The 23,873-nt window shown below is 45.1% G+C and overlaps 1 protein-coding gene across 10 annotated transcripts in view, besides 1 other annotated feature; it reads left to right on the top strand.

The window, feature by feature from the left end:
* The window catches only part of EFCAB8 (EF-hand calcium binding domain 8), a 102,923-nt gene that overhangs the window by 54,074 nt on the left and 24,976 nt on the right, over window positions 1-23,873 (top strand). For 6 of the 10 annotated variants that reach the window (NM_001143967.2, XM_024451883.2, XM_024451882.2 and 3 more), the window contains 5 exons: window positions 4,305-4,509; window positions 5,366-5,578; window positions 7,082-7,219; window positions 17,402-17,620; window positions 18,182-18,340. In NM_001143967.2, the coding sequence (NP_001137439.1) occupies window positions 4,305-4,509; window positions 5,366-5,578; window positions 7,082-7,219; window positions 17,402-17,620; window positions 18,182-18,340 (934 nt within the window). Of the gene's footprint in view, window positions 1-4,304; window positions 4,510-5,334; window positions 5,579-7,081; window positions 7,220-17,401; window positions 17,621-18,181; window positions 18,341-23,873 lie in introns of those variants that run through there. The other 4 variants (XM_024451887.1, XM_047440146.1, XM_024451885.2 and 1 more) reach the window with 4 other exon arrangements.
* Window positions 4,981-5,497: an enhancer, noted in NCBI's record as "H3K4me1 hESC enhancer chr20:31505783-31506299 (GRCh37/hg19 assembly coordinates)". NCBI's record gives its function as "activates a minimal SCP1, AML or CMV promoter by ChIP-STARR-seq in naive H9 embryonic stem cells {active_cell/tissue: H9 hESC(naive)}" and the evidence as "EXISTENCE:reporter gene assay evidence [ECO:0000049][PMID:30033119]".

Genomic DNA, 23,873 nt, shown 5'->3' on the forward strand with positions numbered 1-23,873 from the left:
CTTCATCTGCTCATCCATCCATTTATTCATTATTCATTGAGGCTAATATATTCTTGGCCTTTTGCTAGGTGCCTGGGATGGGTATAAACAAGAATATTGGAGTCTTCATCCTCCTGGAGTATCTATTTCAGTGGGGGAATGTCTTAGTCCATTCGGGCTGCTGTAACAGAATATCATAGACTGAGTTGCTTATAAACAACATAAATTTATTTATCAGAGTTCTGGAGATGGGGGAAGTTCCAGACAAGGTGCCAGCAGATTTGGTGCCTGGTGAGGGCCTACTTCCTGATTCATAGACAGCTGTCTTCTTACTGTAAACTTACATGGTGGAAGGGTTAAGAAATCTCTCTGGGGCCTCCTTTATAAGGGCACTAATCCCATTCATGAGGGCTCCATTTTTGTGACCTCATCGCCTCCCAAGGCCCCACCTCCAAATTTCCTCGCCTTAGGGATTACGTTTCAATATATGAATTTTGGGAGCAAAATTCAGTCTATGGCATTCCGTCCCTGACTTCCCAAAATTCATGTCCTTCTCTCATGCAAAATATATTCATTTCATCCCAATAGCCCAAAAGTCTTAACTTGTTCCAGTATCAACTTTAATGTCTAAGTCCAAAATATCATCTAAATATCACCTAAATAAAATATGGGTGAGTCTCAAGCTACAATTCATTCTGAAGCAAATGCCCCTCTAGCTGTGAACCTGTGATGCTAACACGTTATGTACTTCCAAAATAGAATGGTGGGGCAGGCATAGGATAGACACAAGGGAGAGATAGGAAAGAAGAAAGGAGGGACAGGTCCTGAGCAAGTCAAAAATCCATCAGGGCAAATGCTAGTAGACCTTAAATCTCAAAGATAATCCTCTTTGGCTTGCTGCCCTGCCCTTCAGGCCTGCTGGGGTGGCAATTCTGCCCCTGCAGCTTTGCCTGGCAAGTGACTGGAACCCTAAGACTCTGGGCAGCCCTACACCTACAGATTTGGGGAGCCTTGCCCCCATGGTGGCTCTATGCCTGGGCCCTGCCCCTGTGGCACTTCCCTGCATGAGCCCCCTGGCCCTGTGGGGCTGCAATTCCAAGGCTGTGGCTCTGCTGGGAGACCCTGTCCTTTGAAATCTAGGTGGTGGAGGCAGCCATGTCCTCCCAGCTCTGCTGAGTGCAGTCCATGCTGTACCATGGTCCACAGGAGCCACACCTAGAGTGGTCAAGGAGCATGAAGAATGGTGCCTGTGAAGTTAAGCGATGATGGTAGAGTGCTGTGGTCCCATGGGCACTGGTGGCCATTCCCTTGAAACCATTCTGCCCCCAGAGCCCTTGTACTCTGGGCTGGTGATGGGAGGGACAGTCCTGATGATCTCTGAGTTGCCTTCAGGGTCATTCTTTCATTGTCTTGGAGAACAGCACTGGCTTCTGTTGGGTTGGCTGATCCATACTAATCTCATCAAACAGTGCTTGGCTATGTCTTTAATGATTGTATTAGTTTGTTTTCACACTGCTATAAAGAATGCCTGAGACTGGATAATTTATGACAAAAAAGGGTTTAATTGACTCACAGTTGTGCATGGCTAGGAGGGGGCCTCAGGAAACTTACAATCATAGTTAAAGGTGAAGGGGAAGCAAGGCACATCTTACATGGTGGCAGGAGAGAGAGTGCAAGGGAAACTGCCACTTTTAAATCATCAGGTCTTGTGAGAACTCACTCACTATCACGAGAACAGCATGAGGGAAACTGCCCCCATGATCCACTCACCTCCTACCAGGTCCCTCCCTCAACATATGGGGATTACAATTCAAGATGAGGTTTGGGTGGGGACACAGAGCCAAACCATATCAATGTTCTTTCCTGAACAGCCTTTCTCATTCCTTTCTATATGGATAGGATGAATCTTTTAAGTTCTGCTTCCATTTTTTTTTTCTTTAAGACATGGGATCTCACTCTGTCACCCAGGCTGGACTGTAGTCATGCGATTATCGCTCACTGCAGCCTCAGCTCCTAGGCTCAAGAGATCCTCCCACCCCAGCCTCCAGAGTAGCTAGAACTACAGGCACATGCCACCATGCCTTGCTAATTAAAAAAAAAATTTTTTTATAGAGATGGGGTCTTGCTATGTTGCCCAGGCTGGTCTTAAACTCTTGGTTTCAAGCAATCCTCCTGTCTTGGCCTCCCAAAGTACTGGGTTACAGGCATGTACCACTGCTCCTGGATTCTGCTTCCTTTTTGATTAACAGTTTGGTCTTTAAACCATTTGTCTCTTGTTGCATTTTATTATAAGTTGTCAGGAGAAACCAGGAACTCCTTCAATATGTTACATAGAAATTTGCTCAGTCAAATATCCAATTTCTTATCTTGCAAGTTCTACCTGTCTCAAAACACTAGAACACAAATATAATTCAGCAAGTTCTTTGCCATTTTGTAACAAGTATGACCTTTCCTCTAGTTTCCGATAACATGTTTCTCATTTCTTCACCAGAGACTTCACCAGAATGGTCTTTAACATCCATATTTCTACCAAAATTCTGTTCAGGATTACTTAGGTATTCTCTAAGAATATTGAGGCTTTCTCTGCATCTGTCCTCTTTTCTTTCTAGGCCCTCACTGGAATCACCCTTAATGGTCTATGCATAGCAATGCAAGCTTTTTCTAGCATGGACCATCCATCCTCTACCTATTACCTACTTTTTTTTTTTTTTTTTAAGACAGAGTCTTGTTTTATGGCCCAGGCTGGAGTGCAGTGGTGCAGTCTTGGCTCACTGCAGCCTCCGCGTCCCGGGTTCAAGTGATTCTCATGCTTCTGCTTCCCGGGTAGCTGGGATTATAAGTGTGTGCCACCACACCTGGCTAATTTTTTGTATTTTTAGTAGAGACAGGGTTTCATCATGTTGGCCAGGCTGGTCTTGAACTCCTGGCCTCAAGTGATCCACCTGTCTCAGTTCCCAAAGTGCTGGGATTACAGGCATGAGCCACCCTGCCCAGCTGCTGTTACCTAGTTCTAAAGCCACTTCCCACATTTTTAGGTATTTGTTACAATAACACCCCACTCCTGGTACCAGTTTCTGTCTTTGTTCACTCAGGCTGTTATAACAGAATACCATAGAGTAGGTGGCTTATAACAACAGAAAATTATTTCTTATAGTTCTGGAGGAAGTTCTTAGATTAAAGCACTGGCAAATTCAGTGACTGGTGAGGGCCACTTCCTGGTTCATAGATGGCCATTTTCTCACATGGTAGAGAGGACAAGGGATCTCTCTGGGCCTCTTATTTTTGTTTTAGTTTTTTTAAGAGACAGGATCTTGCTCTATTGCCTAGGCTGGAGTGCAGTGGCATAATTACAGCTCACTGCAGCCTTGAACTCCTGGGCTCAAGTGATCCTCCTGCCTCAGCCTCCTGAATAGCTAGGACTACAAGTGTGTGTCACTATGCCTGGCTAATTAAAATTTTTTTTTGTAGAGATGTGGTCTTGCTCTGTTGCCCAAGCTGGTCTTGAACTCCTGGCCTCAAACGATTTTCCTTCCTTGGCCCCTCAAAGTGCTGGGATTATAGGCATGAGCCACCATGCCTAGCCTAGGACCTCTTTTATAAAGGCACTGATTCCATTTATGAGGGTTTTGCCCTTCTGTCCTAATAACCTTCCAAAGGCCACACCTTCAGATACTCTCACATTGAGGATTAGGTTTTAACATAAATTTTTGGAGAATATGAATATTCAGTTTGTATCAAGAAGGCAGGTACTAATCAAATATTAATACTTTCATTTATAATTATAAAGTATATTCAGTGCTGTGAAAAAAAAGTAGGAGTTTCTATGGGGGTTGAATGGGTGGAAACCTGATTTCTTCTTGGGGGCGGTGGTCAGGAAAGGCTCAGTGAGGGTGTTGTGGGTGGAGTGCAATCTGAAGCGTGAGAAGGAAGGGTCTCTGTGAAGTCTTTAGGGTAGGATGAGCATTCCAGGCAGAAGGCACACTATGTTCAAGGTCCCTTTCTTTTTAGGGACCTCTGTAAGGCCACAATGTCCCCCCCCCTTTAAACCTTAATCCTTACCTAGGTGTCTGACTGGGGGTGTATTACACATTGACTATCTGTAAGATTAGTTTATGTAAAGCCCCTACAACAGGGCCTTTGTAGAAAGCATGTAGTAAGCGCTTAGTAAATGAGGTCAATGGGACATGGCTTCAGCCCAGCTCCGACACCTGAGAGTATCCTCCTCTGAGTCGGCTCCCAGAATCCTCAAGGCTCCAGTGCTTCCCCAATGGATGGAGCATTACAGGCTGAGCTCTCAGCCCTCCTGCCTCTGGCCATATGCACAGGTTCCACAAGACCAAGCCAGTGCTCTTGTGCTACCACTGGCAGACCTACCACACGGAGGACATCCTGAGCATGGCCAAGTACCGGAACCAGTTCCTTGGGACCTCCTCCTACAGTGGGGACATCCTCTTCTGGAACACCGGCACACTCAAGCCCATCTTCAACTTCAATGCCTCTAGGAGCCCCTCGCCCTTGCAGCCCAAGAGGGTATGTTAACAGGAGCACACTCTCCTCCCACCCTTCTCTCAGCTGTGAACCAGAATCCTGTGGGGCAGGGAGGGTGGGGAGCACCCTGGGAAGCAGGAGGGATGATGGCGACTTGTTCTGGATGGGGTGGGGAGCTTGGTTAGGTAGGTGGTAGTTTCTGTAATTATCCTCATTGGACAGATGAGAAAATGGAGGCACACGGAGATGAAGCACCTTGCCTAAGGTCACACAGCCAAGAAGGAGTAGACCCAAACCCAGGCAGTCTGACTTCAGAGGCTGGCAGTGCTGGTCCTCCATCTTTAGTAGATTACTCGCTCCTTTCCCATTGCTACTACACATTACCACTGTGGGCTCCCCAGCAGGGACTTAGGAAACCCATACAGTCTCCAAATTCCCATATCTCAGCAGATCAAAGCAGGAAGGGACCTTAGGGGCCGCCTCATCCAGGGGTTTTCCAAATGTACTGGAGAGAGATGCTTGGAAGCTACTGCAGGGGGGCTCTGGTAGGTGGGGTTTCCCCCAGAATAGCTCAGCTTTTTATCTGTTTTATGCTTTGGAGCTTCCATTGAGATTAAAGGTAGCCTCAAAAATATTTGGAAACCACTGTCCATTTTACAGATGAGAAGACTTGAGTTCCTCATGGGAGCAGTGTCCTGCCTGTGGGTACTCAGGGCATTGCAGCTGGCCAGGAATGGGGTTAGAAGCTCTGGTCTGATGCCTTTAAGGGGGCTAGGTTTCTGGGAAGCAAGCCCTGGGGGGCTGGAGGGCCCTGTGGTGTTGGCATTGATCTGGGGCAGTCCTGAATTTACCTCTACGACATTGCAGTGCCTTAGGGGCTGCTTTCTTCTTGGTACAGGTGCAAGATGTGAACAACTGCCTGGCTGAGAGCCACAGGCCCAGCAGACCCTATGTGGAGCGGGAGAAGTGGACATACAAGACCTCCAGGAAGCTCTCCAGTCTCAGCCCCGAGTCTGTGGCCAATACCAACCTGAGGCGGAGCCTGGTGTCGGCTCCCCCAGTGATGCGGTGCCCGAGAGACAAGGAGCCAGACAGGCCTGTGCCCCAGCAGGTGGGAGCGAGAGCCCAACCAGAAGGCTACCCTCACTCTCTAGCCGCCGGCGTTCACACACCGTCTGTGTGTGTGTTTTCTTATTGGGATGTACTTTTTCCAAAGTGCCTTTAGGTCCCTCAACTCACTTGTTTTGAGCATTGTGGGCCTGGGCAGGGCACCCTCTGGTTTTAGTCCCAATGTATCTATCCTGGAGCTGGGGCTAGGTCCCTTTCCAGGGCATGGCTAATACCAGCCCTAAAAGTCTGAAAGCTGAAAGGCAGGACCCAAAGAGAACACAACCCTGAAAACCTAAAATTGGATGTTAGATCCTGGGCTGCATTCTCAGTCCTCAAGGGCAAGTCACCTGACCTTGGCCCAGGTGCAGAGGGAGCCATGGGGTCTCACCTGCTTGGAGACCAGGCTGTAAGAGTCTGAGACCCAGACACAGACAAACCACTTTCCTCCTCCTCTGAGCCTCATCTCTGCCCCAGGACTAGCCCTTCCAAGAATGGCTGACAGTTCTATTTTGCGGGGAGTAGGGAGAAAGAGCAGGAGGAGTTACTGTTTCCCTACTTGCAGGGGATGGCTTGCCTTTGAACTTTCAGCAGTGAGTACAGTATTCCAACAATCAGTGCAATAATCTCTTGTATGGGGCAGGAGGAACCAGTGAGATTGTTCTCGTAGTCAAAATCTGATTTCCATTCCTGGGAGCTGAGGCTTGAGTGAGAAACACCACCGTCCCCAAACACACAATAATTGCTAGGCATAGGGCAGTCTAGACCTAAATCCAACATGGTCTGCTAGGATATAATTTTGCTGTAAGACGTGTACACTTGACCATAAGACATTCATACCATCTTTGAGTTATCAGAGGTTACACCACTGTTTTCAAATCTTCTAGGGAAATGGGTGCATAGGTATATTTGCCCCTCTATCCTTATTTTTATTTTTATTTTTTGAGATGGAGTCTCACTCTGTCACCCAGGCTAGAGTGCAGTGGCGTGGTCTTCGCTCAGTGCAACCTCTGTCTCCTGGGTTCAAGCAATTCTCCTGCCTCAGCTTCCCTAGTAGCTGGGATTACAGGTGTGCACAACTATGCCTGGCTAAATTTTTTGTATTTTTATTGGAGACGGGGTTTCACCATGTTGGCCAGGCTGGTCTCAGACTCCTGGCCTGAAATTATCTGCCCGCCTCAGCCTCCCAAAGTGCTGGAATTACAGGTGTGAACCACCACGACCGACCTTTATCCTCATTTTTAACCAGGATGGTCTCTTCCAGGACAAAGGAAGCATCTTCCCCAGAGGCAAACTCAAGTCTCTGCCCCAATTTTGCTCTAGCAAAATTGCTGGGAGCTTAAAGTGGAGGTTTCCGGGATCCACTGAGCGCTGCTTTTCCCAGGCCAGTGTACCTACTGCGGGGGCTTGGGAGTGCCGCTCTTTTATCATCTTCCTCTGGTCTCTGGTCCCCTATGGGGAAGGGAAACACCCTCATGGTGACTTGGGTGCCCATCTTTCTTTCCAGAAACCTTCCAGTGCTTCTGGCACATCCAGGCAGTCAAGCAAGATCCACAGCAAACAGTCCATTTACAAAGAGGATGAAACGAGAAAAGGAGAATGGCAGAAGAATATGTTGGTTCAATCCAGTGCCTCGGTGGAGAAGGTTGGCCGTGATCAGCCAGGGAGAGGGATATGAGCTGGGGAGTGGGCGGTCAGGATTGGGTGGTCAGGATGGGGCTCGGGGGCCTGGGCTCGGGGCCCGGCCTGATTCTCCCCAGTGCCCGGAAGGCATCTTGGAGAGGATGGAGACGCTCAGGATACTGGAGTCAGGGCTGCGGTGTCTGGGGAGAGCTCCTGTATTAATTCGTTTTCATGCAGCTGATAAAGGCATATCCGAGACTGAGAAGAAAAAGAGGTTTAACTGGACTTATAGTTCCATATGGCTGGGGAAGACCTCACAATCATGGCGGGAGGCTAAAGGTGCTTCTTACATGGCAGCAGCAAGAGAAAATGAGAAGCAGCAAAAGCGGAAACCCCTGATAAACCCATCAGATCTCGCTGAGACTTGTTCACTATCATGAGAATGGCATGGGAAGGACCAGCCCCCATGATTCAGTTACCTCCCTCTTGGTCCCTCCCACAACACGGGGGAATTCTGGGAGATACCATTCAAGTTGAGATTTGAGTGGGGACACAGCCAAACCATATCAGCTCCCAAGGAGGTGGAGTTGGGGTGCCTAGGGAAGTGAGCAGTGTCCCCTCTGGATTGGGGGTAACAGTGTCCCCTCTGGGAGGGGAGGTAGGGAGGTAGGAGAAGGGGCATCTCCAGACTCTAGTTAGAATGCCCTCCTGTTAACTGGAAGGGTGTTTTATACCGAACACGAGTTGGGTATGGGTTCATCTTTGTTCTTCCTACTGTACCTTCCCCTTTCTGACCCTGGACACCCCTCACTGTGATACTGACTCCCCGTCCTGAAAATACAAATCATAGTTGAGTTAGGGTGTGGCTGGCCTGCCCCATCACCCAGGTCCAGGGACCAGGACTTGAGAACAAGAGGGCAGTGCCCTGAGAGCTGGGTTTTGCAGTGTTGGGAGGGAGAGCAGGAGTGGCTGCACACTCTCCTCCAGGTTCTGATTATTTCTCTCTCCTTTTTTTTTCTTGAGACAGGGTCTCACTGTCACCCAGGCTAGAGTACAGTGGTGTGATCACAGCTCATTACAGCCTCAACTCCTGGGCTGAAGGGACCCTCCCACCTCAGCCTTGTGAGTAGCTGGGGCTATAGGCATGCTCCATTATGCCCAGCTATTTTGTGTGTGTGTGTGTGTGTGTGTGTGTGTGTTTTTGTAGAGATGGGGTCTCACTATGCTGCCCATGCTGGTCTCGAACTCCTGGGCTCAAGTGATCCTCCTGGCTCAGCCTCCCAAAGTGTTGGGATTACAGATGTGAACCATTATACCCAGCCTCTTCCTTCTCTTTAAAAAAATACCTTAGATAACTTTTAAAAGTAATAATACTAGTTTATAATAAAAAAGGAAGTGTATGTAAATGAAAAAATAAAAATAAAAGTCCCCTATATCTCACTCACCCTATCCCATCCCACTCTCAACAGCAGCATTCGCTGCTAACAGGTTGGTTTTAGCCTTGTACTTTTTTTTTTTTGACTAGTAATATAAAATGATAGCTATGTCCTGCCATATGCTTTTTTCTGTAAGTCTATAGCATGGATATACTTTCATGAGAGGGATTTAGATTCATCTTATTCTTTTGTTACCTTATTCTTTTTTTTTTTTTTTTTGAGACGGAGTCTTGCTCTGTCACCCAGGCTGGCGTGCAGTGTTGCGATATCAGCTCACTGCACCTCTGCGTCCTGAGTTCAAGTGATTCTCCTGCCTCAGCCTCCAGAGTAGCTGGGACCATAAGCATGTGCCACCATGCCCAGCTGCTTTTTTATTTCTAGTAGAGTCGGGGTTTCACCATGTTGGCCAGGCTGGTCTTGAACTCCTGACCTCAGGTGATCCACTGGCCTCGGCTTCCCAAAGTGCTGGGATTACAGGCATTAGCCACCACACCTGGCCATCTTATTCTTTTTAACAACTGCCCACTGCTGCATAACTTGGATGCATCAGGAACTGTGAAGCTGGTCCTCTATGAATAGGTCTGTGGGTTAGTTCCAGTTTTTAGCTTTTAGGAGCAGCACTGCATTGAACATTCTTGCACGTACATTTCTGGGCACTAGTGTGAGTATATTGAGAGGACGGATTCTTGGAAACAGAATTGCCAACAGATCCCATCTCTTTAAATCTGTGAAGTCAAGGTAGATGGCTCAAAGCTTGATCTTTTGGGCTAGTGACCTAGTGCTGTCAGGACACAGGCATTCGCTACATGCCAGCCGCTGGGGAAGGAGCAGTGAATGAAAGATATCAAGCCCCTGACCTCTGGAGCTGTCATTCTAGTTGGGGCAAGATAGACAATTAACCAGCAAATAAAATAAAGGGCATGTCACAGAGTGAGTGAGGACAATGGAGGACAAGAAAGCCGGGAAGATGGCAGGGAGAACAGACATGGGAGGAGATGGCATTGCTGTTTTATGAATAGGCTGGTCAGGGAGGGCTTCACAGAGGAGGTGGCATCTGCATAGAGCCTGAAGGAAGCGAGGAAACATGGCCTGCAGTTATTTGGAAGGAGGGTGATGCAGGCAGAGAAGGTAGGTGCAAGGGCCCACATGGGAGAGCTGGCATGGAATGTTCGAGAATGAGTACTTCTCTCTCTCTCTCTGTATCTCTCTCTGATACTTTCTTCCTCTAATTAGAAAGTGATACATGTCCTTAATTAAAACTAAAAAAATTCAGGCCAAGAGCAGTGGCTCACATCTGTAATCCCAGTCCTTTAGGAGGCCAAAGTGGGAGGACTGCTTGAGCCCAGGAGTTCTAGACCAGCTTGGGCAACATGATGAGACCTCATCTCTACAAAAAATTAAAAAAATTAGCCAGGTTTGATAGTGTGCACGGTGCACCCAGCTCCTTGGGAGGCTGAGTTGGGAGAATCACTTGAGTCTGGGAGGTCAAGGATGCAGTGAGCTGTGATTGTGCCACTGCACTCCAGCCTGGGCAACACAGCTAGACCTTGTCTCTTAAACAAACAAACAAACCTGGCCCAGTGCGATGGCTCACACCTGTAATCCTAGCACTTTGGGAGGCTGAGGTGGGCAGATTGCCTGAGCTCAGGAGTTCGAAACCAGCCTGGGCAACACGGTGAAACCCCGTCTCTACTAAAATACAAAAAATTAGCCAGGGGTGGCAGCATACTCCTGTAGTCCCAGCTAGTCGGGAGGCAGAGGCAGGAGAATTGATTGAACCCGGGAGGCGGAGGTTGCAGTGAGCTGAGATCGTGCCACTGCACTCCAGCCTGGGTGACACAGTGAGATTCGCCTCCAAAACAACACCACCACCACCACCTATGAAAAAAAATGAAACTTTATACGAGTGTATAAAGTAAAAGAATGGCTGTCTCCCTCCTCAGCCTCCAGAGGTAATTACGTTAAGACATGTGTTGTAGCCTTCTAGAATTTTTTTGTGCATATACAAGTACATACATGTATGAATGTATATATATAAATCTAGATATTTTTCACTGGATAATATCATATTGCATGTATTATTCCGGGACTTGCTGTTTTTCACTTGACTCCTCACGGGCATCTCTTCATGACGGTGTTTACGGAGCCATGGCATTCCTTTTACTAGTCACATCATGTCCTGGGTACACTGCACAGAGTCTGTATAGCTATCTGCTGCCGCTGGGTTTTGCCTCTATAGAAAGCATTGCAATGAATACCCTTGTACATAAATTTTGGATCTCTTGTCTATTTCCAGATATAAAACTCTAGGATTAGAAACATACTCCTGGAAAGCTTTTGCTATCTTGCATTATGTTTCAGTGGTAGCTAGTAATTATTGAGCTCTCAATATCTGCCAGACAATGAACTTAATGGTTTACATGTGTTATTTTTTGTTTTTTGAGACAGAATCTCAGCTCTCTTGTCCAGGCTGGAGTGCAGTGGCACAATCACAGCTCATTGTAGCCTCCACTTCCCAGGCTCAAGCGATTCTCCCACCTCAGCCTTCTGAGTATTAATAGCTGGGACCACAGGTGTGTGCTACTGTGCCTGGCTCATTAAAAAAATATATATTTATAGAGATGGAGTCTCCTTATGTTGCCCAGGCTAGTCTTGACCTTCTGGGCTCAAGCGATCCTCCTGCCTTGGCCTCCCAAAGTGCTGGGATTACAGGCATAAGCCACCATGCCCAGCTACATGTGTTGTTTTTATTTTGTCCATCAAACAGCCCTGGGAAGTATGTACTATTATTATTTATTTATGAGGGATTTTTATTTATTTAATACATCTGAAAAGAATGTATGTGAAAAGAATGTTTAATACATCTGAAAAGAATGTACTATTATTATTATTCCCATTTTATGGCTGAAGAAACAGGCCCAATGAGGTGAAGTGACTTGCCCAAGATTCTTATGGCCAGAAAATGGCAGAGCCAGGGCCTGATTCTAGGTCTATTTGTTTTCAAAGTTCAAGTTCTTTTAAGTTTTTGTGCTGCCACTGTTGGGAATTCCTTGGGCTTTTTACGTGGCCTGGTGATCTGTGTGTAATAAGGATTTGTATCATGAATCTTGATTGAATTTTTGGCCACAGAATTGCATGCAAAAGATTGAATGTCTATTGGTGAGATTTGAGGCACTGTGGCTGGCAGGGCTGTGTGTGTGTGTGTGTCCCCTCTGGATGCTGACCCTCACCCCTGGCTTCAAGATGTACTGTCTCCCACCCGCACCACTCCTTGAGGAGCAGGGTCCCTTCTCTCTGGGGCACTTGTGGGCACAGTGAAGCATTTTAGGGTGGTGCCCTGGAGAGGGTCCAGAGTGCTTGGGTCATCTCTGATCTCAGCCTTTCCTTAGTGGAAGAGAGGCTTGGGTGGGCTGGGGTAAGGACACCAGACAGGGAGTGGGTGGGGGTCTTACCTGTTGGGTCTTCCTTCCCATTATTTCTGTCTGGCCATCCCAGAAGACTGTGAGGCATGGCAGAAAGAGCACTAGGAAGGAGTCCAGGATGCAGATCCAGGCCCAGCTGTGTCCCTGACAGTCTTTATTTTTAATTTTACTTATTTATTTATTTTTGAGATGGAGTCTCACTCTGTTGTCCAGGCTGGAGTGCAGTGGCGTGATCTCAGCTCACTGCCACCTCTGTCTCCTGGGTTCAAGTGATTCTCGTGCCTCAACCTCCTGAGTAGCTGGGATTACAGGTGTGTGCCACCACACCTGGCTAATTTTGTGTTTTTAATGGAGACAGGGTTTCACCATGTTGTCCAGGCTGGTCTTGAACTCCTGACCTTAAGTGATCCTCTTGCCTCAGCTTTCCAAAGTGCTGGCATTACAGGCGTAAGCCACCACGCCTAGCTAATTTTGGGTTTTTAGTGGAGACGGGGTTTTGCCATGTTGTCCAGGCTTGTCTCGAACTCCTGGCCTCAAGTGATCCTCCTGCCTCAGCCTCCCAAAGTGTTGGGATTACAGGCGTGAGCCACGGCGCCCAGCCCCTGACAGTCTTTAGATGAAGCACTTGCCCCTGGCCATCTCCCCAGTAGGGAAGGACCAGATGGCACGCAGTAGAAAATTGCTCCAAGTTACATGAAGTTTAGCCCGTGAGTAGCTTGCCATGGCTCCTTCTGAAGGGACCCACAGGGAGGCCATTAACCCGCTGTGGTTGAGATACTATCTGGGATTCCTGGGCTGAGTGAGACTGAAATGCTCACCTTCAGTCCAGCAGCTCTTTCCAAAATGAGCAGGGCAATGTATTGGATGGGGCTGGATGCAGAGTGCAAAAGGAATAGTGTTGGTTACCTGTCCCTCGCAGCCACACGGCTCTGTCCTGCCTAGGGCCACCATTCTGACTGTGCTTTTCTCACTGTGAGCACCGGATGCTGGCTACGCAGTTGACCCTGTGCTCTCAGCAGGCCGCCCCTCTCCAGTCCTGCTGAAGTCCTGGGCGCTCATTCACCTTCACCCTACCTGCTCTCACCGTCCCAGGGCTGGCAAAGGAATGGCTGGGAAGGATGCCTCAGCTTTTCCCCAGTTCAGACATGGGAGAACTTTGTGGTGCATCACTTTGGTGAATCCTGTGCAGTTATGAGGAACCACATTTTAGAAAAATACTTAATCATTGGAATGTGCTTATGACAAAATTTAAAGCACATCCTTTAAAATGACAGTTAATGACTACTGTGAAAGTTGTGTGCACGTTAAATTTTTTTTTATGGTTTTGATTTTTCAAACAAAACTGAGAACGTTTGAAACTATTGTTTATTTAGCTGTTTGCTTTTTTTTTTTTTTCAAACCTTGCAATTTGTGGTGGACAGTTTTTCCTCTCAGCACATAATAATCTATCCACTTCATTCTTTTTTTTTTTATTATACTTTAAGTTTTAGGGTACATGTGCACAATGTGCAGGTTAGTTACATATGTATACATGTGCCATGCTGGTGCGCTGCACCCACTAACTCGTCATTTAGCATTAGGTATATCTCCCAATGCTATCCCTCCCCCCTCCCCCGACCCCACAACAGTCCCCAGAGTGTGATGTTCCCCTTCCTGTGTCCATGTGTTCTCATTGTTCAATTCCCACCTATGAGTGAGAATATGCGGTGTTTGGTTTTTTGTTCTTGCGATAGTTTACTGAGAATGATGATTTCCAATTTCATCCATGTCCCTACAAAGGACATGAACTCATCATTTTTTATGGCTGCATAGTATTCCATGGTGTATATGTGCCACATTTTCTTAATCCAGTCTATCATTGTTGGACATTTGGGTTGGTTCCAAGTCTTTGCTATTGTGAATAATGCCGCAATAAACATACGTGTGCATGTGTCTTTATAGCAGCATGATTTATAGTCCTTTGGGTATACCACTTCATTCTTTTTAATAGCTTTATATAGGGACCTATCTAGGTTTTTTGGAGCCTAAAACTTTTGCAAGAAAAATGCACAAAATTATAAAAAATTAGGTACAAAAGTGAATATTTATTTAGAATGAGAAAAAAGTGTCAACAAATTTCAAAACTTATAAATCTGACAATTACAAAAGTCACCAGAACTTACCAGTTCTTTCCTAGAACCTTGAACTTAAACTTGAACTTAGCCTTGAGCTTCATGAACTTCACGAGTAAATCTGCCACTGGCTGCAGTGTATTTCTTTGGATTCACCATGATTTGTTTATTTATTTATTTATTTAATTTAAAATTTTTTTGAGACAGAGTCTCACTCTGTCTCCCAGGCTGGAGTGCAGTGACGTGATCTTGGTTCACTGCAACCTCCGCCTCCCAAGTACCAGCAATTCTTCTGCCTCAGCCTCCCGAGTAGCTGGGATTAAAGGTGCCCGCCACCATGCCCAGCTGATTTTTGTATTTTTAGTGGAGACAGGGTTTCACCATGTTGGTCAGGCTGGTCTTGAACTCCTGACCTCAGGTGATCCACCCGCCTTGGCTTCCCAAAATGCTGGGATTAGAGGCGAGAGCCACCATGCCTGGCCAAAATACATTAAAGTCTTAATGGTGATTATTTCTGGGTACTGGGATTTTGTAGGTGATTTTAATTTCCTTTCATATGTCTATGCTGCCCACATTTTGTACAGTGAGCACTTGCATAAAGTGGGGGAAATGCTTGCCCTTTGTCTTTGGTTCAGGGATTCCTGTTTTTTCTTTTTTTCAAAAAATTTTTCTTGTAGTGAAATACACATAACATAAAATTTACCATTGAAACCATTTTTAAGTGTATGGTTCAGTGGTAGTAAATATATTCATAATGTGCAGCCATCACCACTATCCATTCATCTTGTTAAATTGAAACTATACCCATTAAAAAATAACTCCCACTCCCCTCTCCCTCCAAACCCTGGAAACCCCCATTCTACTTTCTGTCTTTATGATTTTGACTATTCTACCTCATGCAAGTGGAATCATATGTTTGTCTTTTGGTAACTGGCTTATGTCACTTAGCATAATGTCCTCTTTGATTAATTCCCAAGTATTTTACTCTTTTTTTGACACTATTGTCAATGGAATTATTTTTGTAATTTCCTTTTCAGATTGTTCAACGTTAGTGTATAGAAATGCAACTGATTTTTTATTTTTTTTTTTTTGAGACAGAGTCTTGCTCTGTCGCCCAGGCTGGAGTACAATGGCACGATCTCGGCTCACTGCACCCTCTGCCTCCCAGGTTCAAGTGATTTTCCTGCCTCAGCCTCATGGGTAGCTGGGATTACAGGTGCATGCCACCACACCTGGCTAATATTTGTATTTTTTAGTAGAGACGGGCTTTCACCATGTTGACCAGGCTGGTCTCGAACTCTTGACCTCATGATCCACCTGCCTCAGCCTCCCAAAGTGCTGGGATTACAGGCATGAGCCACCGCACCCAGCCAATGCGACTGATTTTTATGTGTTGACTTTGTATCCTGCCATTTTGCTGAATTCATTTGTTAGCCCCTTTTTTTTGGTGTGGGAGCTTTAGCGTTTTCTACATATAAGATAATATCATCTGCAAACTTATAATTTTACTTCTTTCTTTCCAGTTTGGATACCTTTTATTTCTTTTTTTGCCTAATCCCTCTGGCAGAACTTCCAGTACTCTGTTGAATAAAAGTGGCAAAAGTGGACATTCTTGCCTTGTTCCTAATTCCAGAGGAAAAGCTTTCAGTCTTTTACTATTGAGTGTGATATTCATTGTGGGTTTTTCATATATGGCTTTTATTATGTTTAGGTAATGTCCTTCTATTCCTATTTTTTTTTTTTAATTTTGTCAAATCGTTTTCTGCATCAATTAAGATGATCGTGTGGGTTTTTTTCTTTTTTTGTGAAGGTGGTATATTTATTGATTTTTATATGTTGAATCATCCTTGCATTCCAGGAATAAAAGTCACTTGGTCATGGTATATAATCCTTTTAATATGCTACTGAATGCAGTTTGCTAATTTTTTTGATAATTTTTAAATATCAGTGTTCATAAGGGATATTTCTCTGTAGTCTTTTTTTTTTTCTTATAATGTCTTTGTCTGACTTTGATATCAGGGTAATGCTGGCCTCATAGAATGAGTTAGGAAGTGTTATCTCCTCTTCAGTATTCTGGAAAAGTTTGGGAAGGATTGGCATTCATTCTTCCTTAAATGTTTGGTAGAATTCACTGGTGAAGCCATCAAGCTTTGGGCACAAGGGACTTCTGGTTTTTGACCCTGGCACCGGGGCCAGTGGGAAGCAGGTTGAACAACTAATTTCGGATTTCTACAACAATAAGGATAATTGAGATTTTTTTCTTTCTTTTCTTTTCTTTCTTTTCTTTTTTCTCCCTTCCCTCCCCTCCCCTCCCCTCCCCTCCGCTTCTCTTCCCTTCTGTTTTTTTTTTTTTTTCTTTAAATAGAGATAGGGTCTCACTATGTTGCACAGGCTGTCTCGATCTCCTGGGCTCAAGTGATTCACCCGCCTCGGCCTCCCAAAGTGCTAGGATTACAGGTATGAGCCACCATGAGATTTTTGATAATCGAGATTTTTGTTGTTGGTGACATGTTTTGGGGACACATAAGCTATTACACTGTAAAGTTCTGAGCAGGAGTGAGGAAGCTTCCAATTTCCCCCTTCTGGCCTGATTTGCTCTACCACCCTCACTATGCTCTCAGCCTCCTGCTGGGTGCCAGGCAAGAAACTTTCTTCTCATGCTTGCCATGCAGAGTAACTTCCCACTGTGGCCCCCACATGGGCCACAGGTGTGACATGTAAGGGAAAAGTGAGCAGAGTGAGGAATTAGCAAAGGGCATGATCAAAACAAGTCTTGAACAAGAATTTGTTTAAAATGCTTTCTTGATGATTGGCTGGAAAATATGGATATTTCACTATAGATATACATGAAGGGGAATGAGTTCCTTCCCCACATCACTTTGGGTTGAGTTACAGGTTGTGAAAATCTTGTCTGAGCCTATGTCGAATCAAACTTGTAAGCCTTCATTTGATAAACATTTATTGATCATGTATTATGTGTCAGGCACCATTGTGGTTACTAAGGACAAAGTAGTGAACAAAAAAGACGCAAAATCCCTGCCCTCTAGTAGTTCATAGTCGAGTATGACGTTCCTTGTCACCAGCTGGGGAGGAAGGGTGGGACCACCATCACCACTTTCACTGGGCATCTAGGAAACTGGGGGACCAGGTGGGTGTGGTGACTTGCTGAGGTCCCTCAGCACCATGTGACAGTGGCTCACAGCCCTGCTGAGCCGGGCCCTCCTCTCTTCCTCAGATAATCTTCCTGCAGACCAGGCCTCGCCTGCCGCACACGGCTGCCCTGCTGAGCAGCTGCATGGACGGCTACATCTACGCCTGGTCCCTCCATGAGAATGGAGGCCTGCTGGGGAAGTTCCCTGTGGACCTAGACAATGGGGATGTTGTCGTGGGTGCCATGGCCACTGATAAAAATGACTGGATCCTCATCACGGGGGATTGTAAAGGATACATCAAGGTGAGGAAGAACTGGCAGGAAGATTGAGGGGCTGGTGCCAGCTAAGTGTTCGGCCATCTCTTTGCTCACATGGCCCTTGCCTAGTTCCTACTCTGTCTGGGTACTGGTTCCATTTGTGAAACAATGCAGCGAGGAGTCCTCTCCTGCTCTGCTAAGCCCAGTGACAGGAGCGGGTCTTGGTTCAAAAAGCCCCTCTGAGAAGCCTTCCCTGGAGAATTCCGTGCTCCATCACTGTCTTCTCCAACTCCCTCATCCCGAAGTCATGTGGCTAATCTAGGATCAGCTGTCTCAGGAGCTGATTGTGTGCCTTGTGGCAAGACATGAGGCAGGGGTGTGCTGTCCTTGAGCCGGTCACACCCTTCCTGCCTGCTAATCCAGGAGTATGGCCTAGAAGATCCCTAAGGCCCTTTCTGGCCCTAGTGGTGAGGTATCTCAGAGATGTAAGTAAGAACTGCCCCCCACCCCCACCAAATGAAGAGGAATGGTCTGGGAGGAGCCCGCAGAGTGAGTTGGGGTCTGGGTCAAGGGGTGTGAGGCCACTAACCCACACTTTATGTCTAGATCTGGGACATCAAGGATTACTGCGCATTGATTGATAAACAGCCATTCCAATCCAGTGGGGCCAAGGTTGTCTCTGAAGCACACAACAAGTTCCGGTTGTTAATTCCTCAGCAACTTGGGACCAACTTCCCACACTACATTCCCTTGGAGGATAAAGAGGTAGGAGGATTACTGGAGAGTTGCTCAGGAAAGTGCCTTTGAGCCCCACAAATGAGCTAGGACCATAAACTAACTCATACCCAAGAGAAATACACTTACTAAAAGATAAGAGCAAAAATATTGATAGAATTAGTATTCGTGGCCAGTCGTGGTGGCCCACGCCTGTAATCCCAGCACTTTGGGAGGCTGAGGCGGGTGGATCACGAGGTCAGGAGTTTGAGACCAGCCTGACCAACATGGTGAAACCCTGTCTCTACTAAAAATACAAAAATTAGCCGAGTGTGGTGGTGCACTCCTTGTAATCCCAGCTACTCAGGAGGCTGAGGCAGGAGAATCGCTTGAACCTAGAAGGCAGAGGTTGTAGTGAGCTGAGATCGCGCCATTGCATTCCAGCCTGGGCGACAGAGCAAGACTTCGTTTCAAAAAAGAAAAAGAGTTAGTATTCGTAATAATGCCACATTAGAAACAACTCAAATGCCCATCACCGTAGACTGGAAAATAAATTACAAATAAATTACAGTGTAATATCTGGCACCAGAAGTGAATTTACTCACTACAAAATGGAGAACTCTTCAAACAATTTAGGCAAAAGAAGTCAGACCCAGAAGAACATATATTAGAAATGATTGTTTTTGTTGGGGGAGTGGAGAGGCTGGAAGGAATCATGAAGGGGACTTCTGGAGAGGTTGGCAGTGCTCTGCTTCATTAACGGGCCTGATCATGCAGTTGTATTCAGTTTCTAAAAATTTATTCAGTGGTGGGCCGGGCACGGTGGCTCATGCCTGTAATCCCAGCACTTTGGGAGGCCAAGGCTGGTGGATCATCTGAGGTCAGGAGTTTGAGACCAGCCTGGCCAACCTGGTGAAACCCTGTCTACTAAAAATACAAAAATCAGCTGGGTGTGGCGGTGCACGCCTGTAATCCCAGCTACTTGGGAGGCTGAGGCACAAGAATCACTTGAACCCGGGAGGTGGAGGTTGCAGTGAGCCTAGATTGCTCCGTTGCCCTCCAGCCTGGGCGACAGCGTGTGACTCTGTCTCAAAAAAAAAAATTATTCAGTACTACACTTATATACGATTTTCTATGTGTATATCATACATCAATGAAAGTTTTAAAAAGTCAGGTAACGTAAAAAGGCTTACAGCGAAGAGTCTAAGTCCCATTCCTGTTCCCCCAAACAGTTCATGCTCCCTGAAGTAACCACGTGTGTTGATTTTTGGTTATTCCTCTGGTGTTTACTTATGCAAACACGATGTGTAAAGTTATTTTCTACTGAAGGTATCATTTCACTTATACTGGTACTCATCTTGCTTTTCTTGCTGTATGATATATCTTGGAGACCTTTGCATAGCAGCACTATCCCATTTTAAGGTAAATTTGTCTTTAAAAAAATCTTACACAAAAGTGAATAGTGAATGTTATTTCACATATGTGAAGGCATTTCTGTAGGAGATGTTCTTGGAAGTGGGATTGCTAGGTAAAAGGGTTACATGCATTTGCAATTTTGATAGCCTTCTTGCAGTCTTATGTGCCTTTTGAATCTCTACATGAGTATGTTATGGCTAGTTCGTTTTAGTATGAAGAGAATGTCATTATATTAAAATGTCTTGGGAACTGATTACCCACAGTGTCAGTATGTGAAGAATTTATAATGTTGATACAATCATCATCATAATAATATTTATTTACTGCTTGCAATGTTCCAGGGATGGTGATAGTATATTATATATGCATTCATTAATCTCCATAATGACTTGTGAGGGAGATGATGTTTTTCAGATGAGGAAGTAATGAAACTGAAGAGCTGAGAGACTCGTCTAAGCTCCAGTAGCAACCAGTGTAGACCTGAGACTAAACCTAAGTCTGTCTGACTCCAGAATCTGTGTTCCTGACCATCTGCTCTTAGTTTTATAATGATATATTTTAAACAATTGGGATTATATTGTATGTAACTGGAATTTCCTATACCATCAAGTATTCTTTTTTCTTTAAAAATTTTATTGTTTCAAATAGATAAATCATAATTGTAGACATTTCTGAGGCACAGTGTGCTGTTTTGATCTATGTACACATGTGGAATGATTAAATCAAGCCAATTAACATATCTACCACCTCACTTACAATTTTTATGGTGAGACATTTAAAATTTACTCTTAGTTATGTTGAAGTATGCAATATATTACTGACTATAGTCACTCTGCTGTGCAGAAGATCTCAAAACTTTTTCCTCCTGTCTGACCAAAACTTGGTACCCCTTTGACCAATAACTTCCCATTCTCTCTCCCTTATTCCCCACCCCACCCTCTAAGCCTCTGGTAACCATCATTCTCCTTTCTACTTCTTTTTAAAAACCTCTTTTTGGCCGGGCTCAGTGGCTCAAGCCTGTAATCCCAGTACTTTGGGAGGCCGAGGCGGGCAGATCACCTGAGGTCAGGAGTTCAAGACCAGCCTGGCCCACATGGTGAAACCTTGTCCCTACTAAAAATACAAAATTAGCCAGGCATGGTGATGCGTGCCTGTAATCCCAGCTACTCTGGAGGCTGAGGCAAGAAATCACTTGAACCTGGGAGGCAGAGGTTGCAGTGAGCCGAGGTTGCGCCACTGCACTTCAGCCTGGGCAACAAAGTGAGACTCCGTCTCAAAAAATCAATCAATCAAATCAAAGCAAATCAAAAACTTTTTTTTTTTTTTTGTAGAGATGAGGTCTATGTTGCCCAGGCTGGTCTTGAACTCCTGGGCTCAAGGAATCCTCCTGCCTTGACCTCCCAAAGTGCTGGGATTACAGGTGTGAGCCACCGTGCCCAGCCCTTTCTACTTCTATGAGTTTGACTTTTTATAATTCCATATATAAATACAATCATGCAGTATTTTTCTTTCATGACTGGCTTATTTCACTTACCATAATGTCTTCCAGATTAATCTATGTTGTCCCAAATGACAGGATTTTTTTTCTCTTTTAAGGCTGAATAGTATTCCATTATGTATATACACCACATTTGCATTATCCATTCATCCACTGATGGCCCCTTAGGTTGATTCTATATCTTGGCTATTGTGAAAAGTGCTGCAATGAACATGGGAGTGCAGGTATTTCTTTGACATATTGATATGACATATTGATCTCTTTTGGATATATACCCAGAAGTGGAATTGCTAGATCATATAGTAGTTCTAATTTTAGTTTTTTGAGGAAACCCCATACTATTTCTCGTAGTGGTTGATATGGTTTGGTTGTGTCCCCACACAAATCTCATCTTGAATTGTAGCTCTCATAATCCCCAGCTGTCGTGGGAGGGACCTGGTGGGAGGTAATTGAATCGTGGGGGTGGGTTTTTCCCACCATTCTAATGATAGTGAATAAGTCTCAAGAGATATGATGGCTTTATAAAGGGCAGTTCCCCTGCTCATGCTCTCTTGCCTGCTCCCATGTAAGACGTGCCTTTGCTCCTCTTTCACCTCTGCCATGATTGTGAGGCCTCCCCAGCCATGTGGAACTGTGAGTCCATTAAACCTTTACTTTATAAATTACCCAGTCTCGGATATGTCTTTATTAGCAGCATGAGAACAGACCAATACAGTGGTTGTACTGATTTACATTCCCTCCAACATTGTACAAGGGTTTTCTTTTTTCTGCCTCCTCACCAACACTTGTTTCTTGTCTTTTTGATAACATCTAATCTAACAGATGTAAGATGATATCTCATTGTGGTTTAATTTGTTTTTCCTAATGATTAGTGGTGCTCAGCATTTTTTTTCTTGAACCTGTTGGCCATTTGAATGTCTTCTTTTGAGAAATGTCTCTTTGGATGCTTTCTCCATTTTCTCTTCTCTTCTCTTTTCTTTCTTTCTTTCTTTCTTTTTTTTTTTTTTTTTTTTTTTTTGAGATGGCGTTTTGCTCTTGTTGCCCGGGCTGGAGTGCATTGATCCAATCTTGGCTCACTGCAACCCCCGCCTCCCGGGTTCAAGCAATTCTCCCGCCTCAGCCTCCTGAGTAGCTGTGATTACAGGCACAGGCTACCACACCCGGCTAATTTTGTATTTTCAGTAGAGACGAGGTGTCACCTTGTTGGTCAGGCTGGTCCCGAACTCCTGACCTCAAGTGATCTGCCCGCCTTGGCCTCCCAAAGTGCTGGGATTACAGGCATGAGCCACTGCACCTGGCCACTTTGCCTATTTTATTTTATTTTGAGATGGAGTTTTGCTCTTATTGCCCAGACTGGAGTGCAATGGCGCAATTGCAGCTCACCACAACCTCCGCCTCCCAGGTTCAAGCAATTCTCCTGCCTCAGCCTCCCAAGTAGGTGGGATTACAGGCATGCGCCACCACGCCCAACTAATTTTGTAGTTTTAGTAGAGATGGGGTTTCTCCATGTTGGTCAGGCTGGTCTTGAACTCCTGACCTCAGGTGATCTGCCCACCTTGCCTCCCAAAGTGCTGGGATTACAAGAGTGAGTGCACCTGGCCCACTTTGCTCATTTTCTAATTGGGTTATTCGTTTTCTGGCTATTGAGTTGTTTGAGTTTCTTATTTATTGTGGATGTTACTCCCTTATCAGATGTATGATTTACATATATTTTCTGTCACTCTGTGGGTTATCTCTTTACTTTGTTCATTGTTTCCTTTCTGTCCAAAAGCTTTGTATCTTGTCTAAAATCCCATTTGTCTATTTTTGCTTTTATTTATTTTTATTTTTATTTTTATTTTTTATTTTTTTGAAACGGAGTCTTGCTCTGTCACCCAGGTTGGAGTGCAGTGGTGCAATCTCAGCTCACTGCAACCTCTGCCTCCCAGGTTCAAGGAAGTCTCCTACTCCAACTTCCTGAGTAGCTGGGATTATAGGCGTGTGCCACCATGCCTAGCTAATTTTTGTATTTTTTGGTAGAGACAGGATTTCACCATGTTGGCCAGGCTGGTGTTGAACTCTTGACCTCAGGCAATCCGCCTGACTCAGCCTCCCAAAGTGCTGGGATTACACGTGTGAGCCACCGCGCCTGGCCTATTTTTGCTTTTATTACCTGTGCTTTTGGGGTCATAGCTAAATAACCATTGCTCAGATCAATGTCATGGAGCCTTTCCTCTAGGTATTCTTCTAGTTGTTTTACAGTCTCAGATCTTATATTTAAGACTTTAATCCATTTTGAGTTGATTTTTTATACTGTGTGAGATAAGGATCCAATTTTATTCTTCTGTATGTGGATCCAATTTTCCTAGTACAGTTTATTGAAAAGACTGTCTTTTCCCCATTATGTATTAGTAACACCTTTGTCAAAAATCAATTGACTATTAGTGCATGGGTTTATTTCTGGGTTTTCTATCTTGTTACATTAGTCGATGTGTCTATTTTTATGCCAGCACCATACTGTTTTGATTATATTAGCTTTATAATATATTTTGAAATCAGGGACTGTGATGTCTTTAGCTTTGTTCTTTTTGCTCAAGATTGTTTTGGCTAGCCAGGGTCTTTTATGATTGCATATGAATTTAAGGATTGTTTTATTTCTATAAGAAATGACATTGGAATTTTGATAGGGAC

Source organism: Homo sapiens, chromosome 20 (assembly GCF_000001405.40).
Source record: "Homo sapiens chromosome 20, GRCh38.p14 Primary Assembly".
In the NCBI taxonomy this organism is placed as follows: domain Eukaryota; kingdom Metazoa; phylum Chordata; class Mammalia; order Primates; family Hominidae; genus Homo; species Homo sapiens.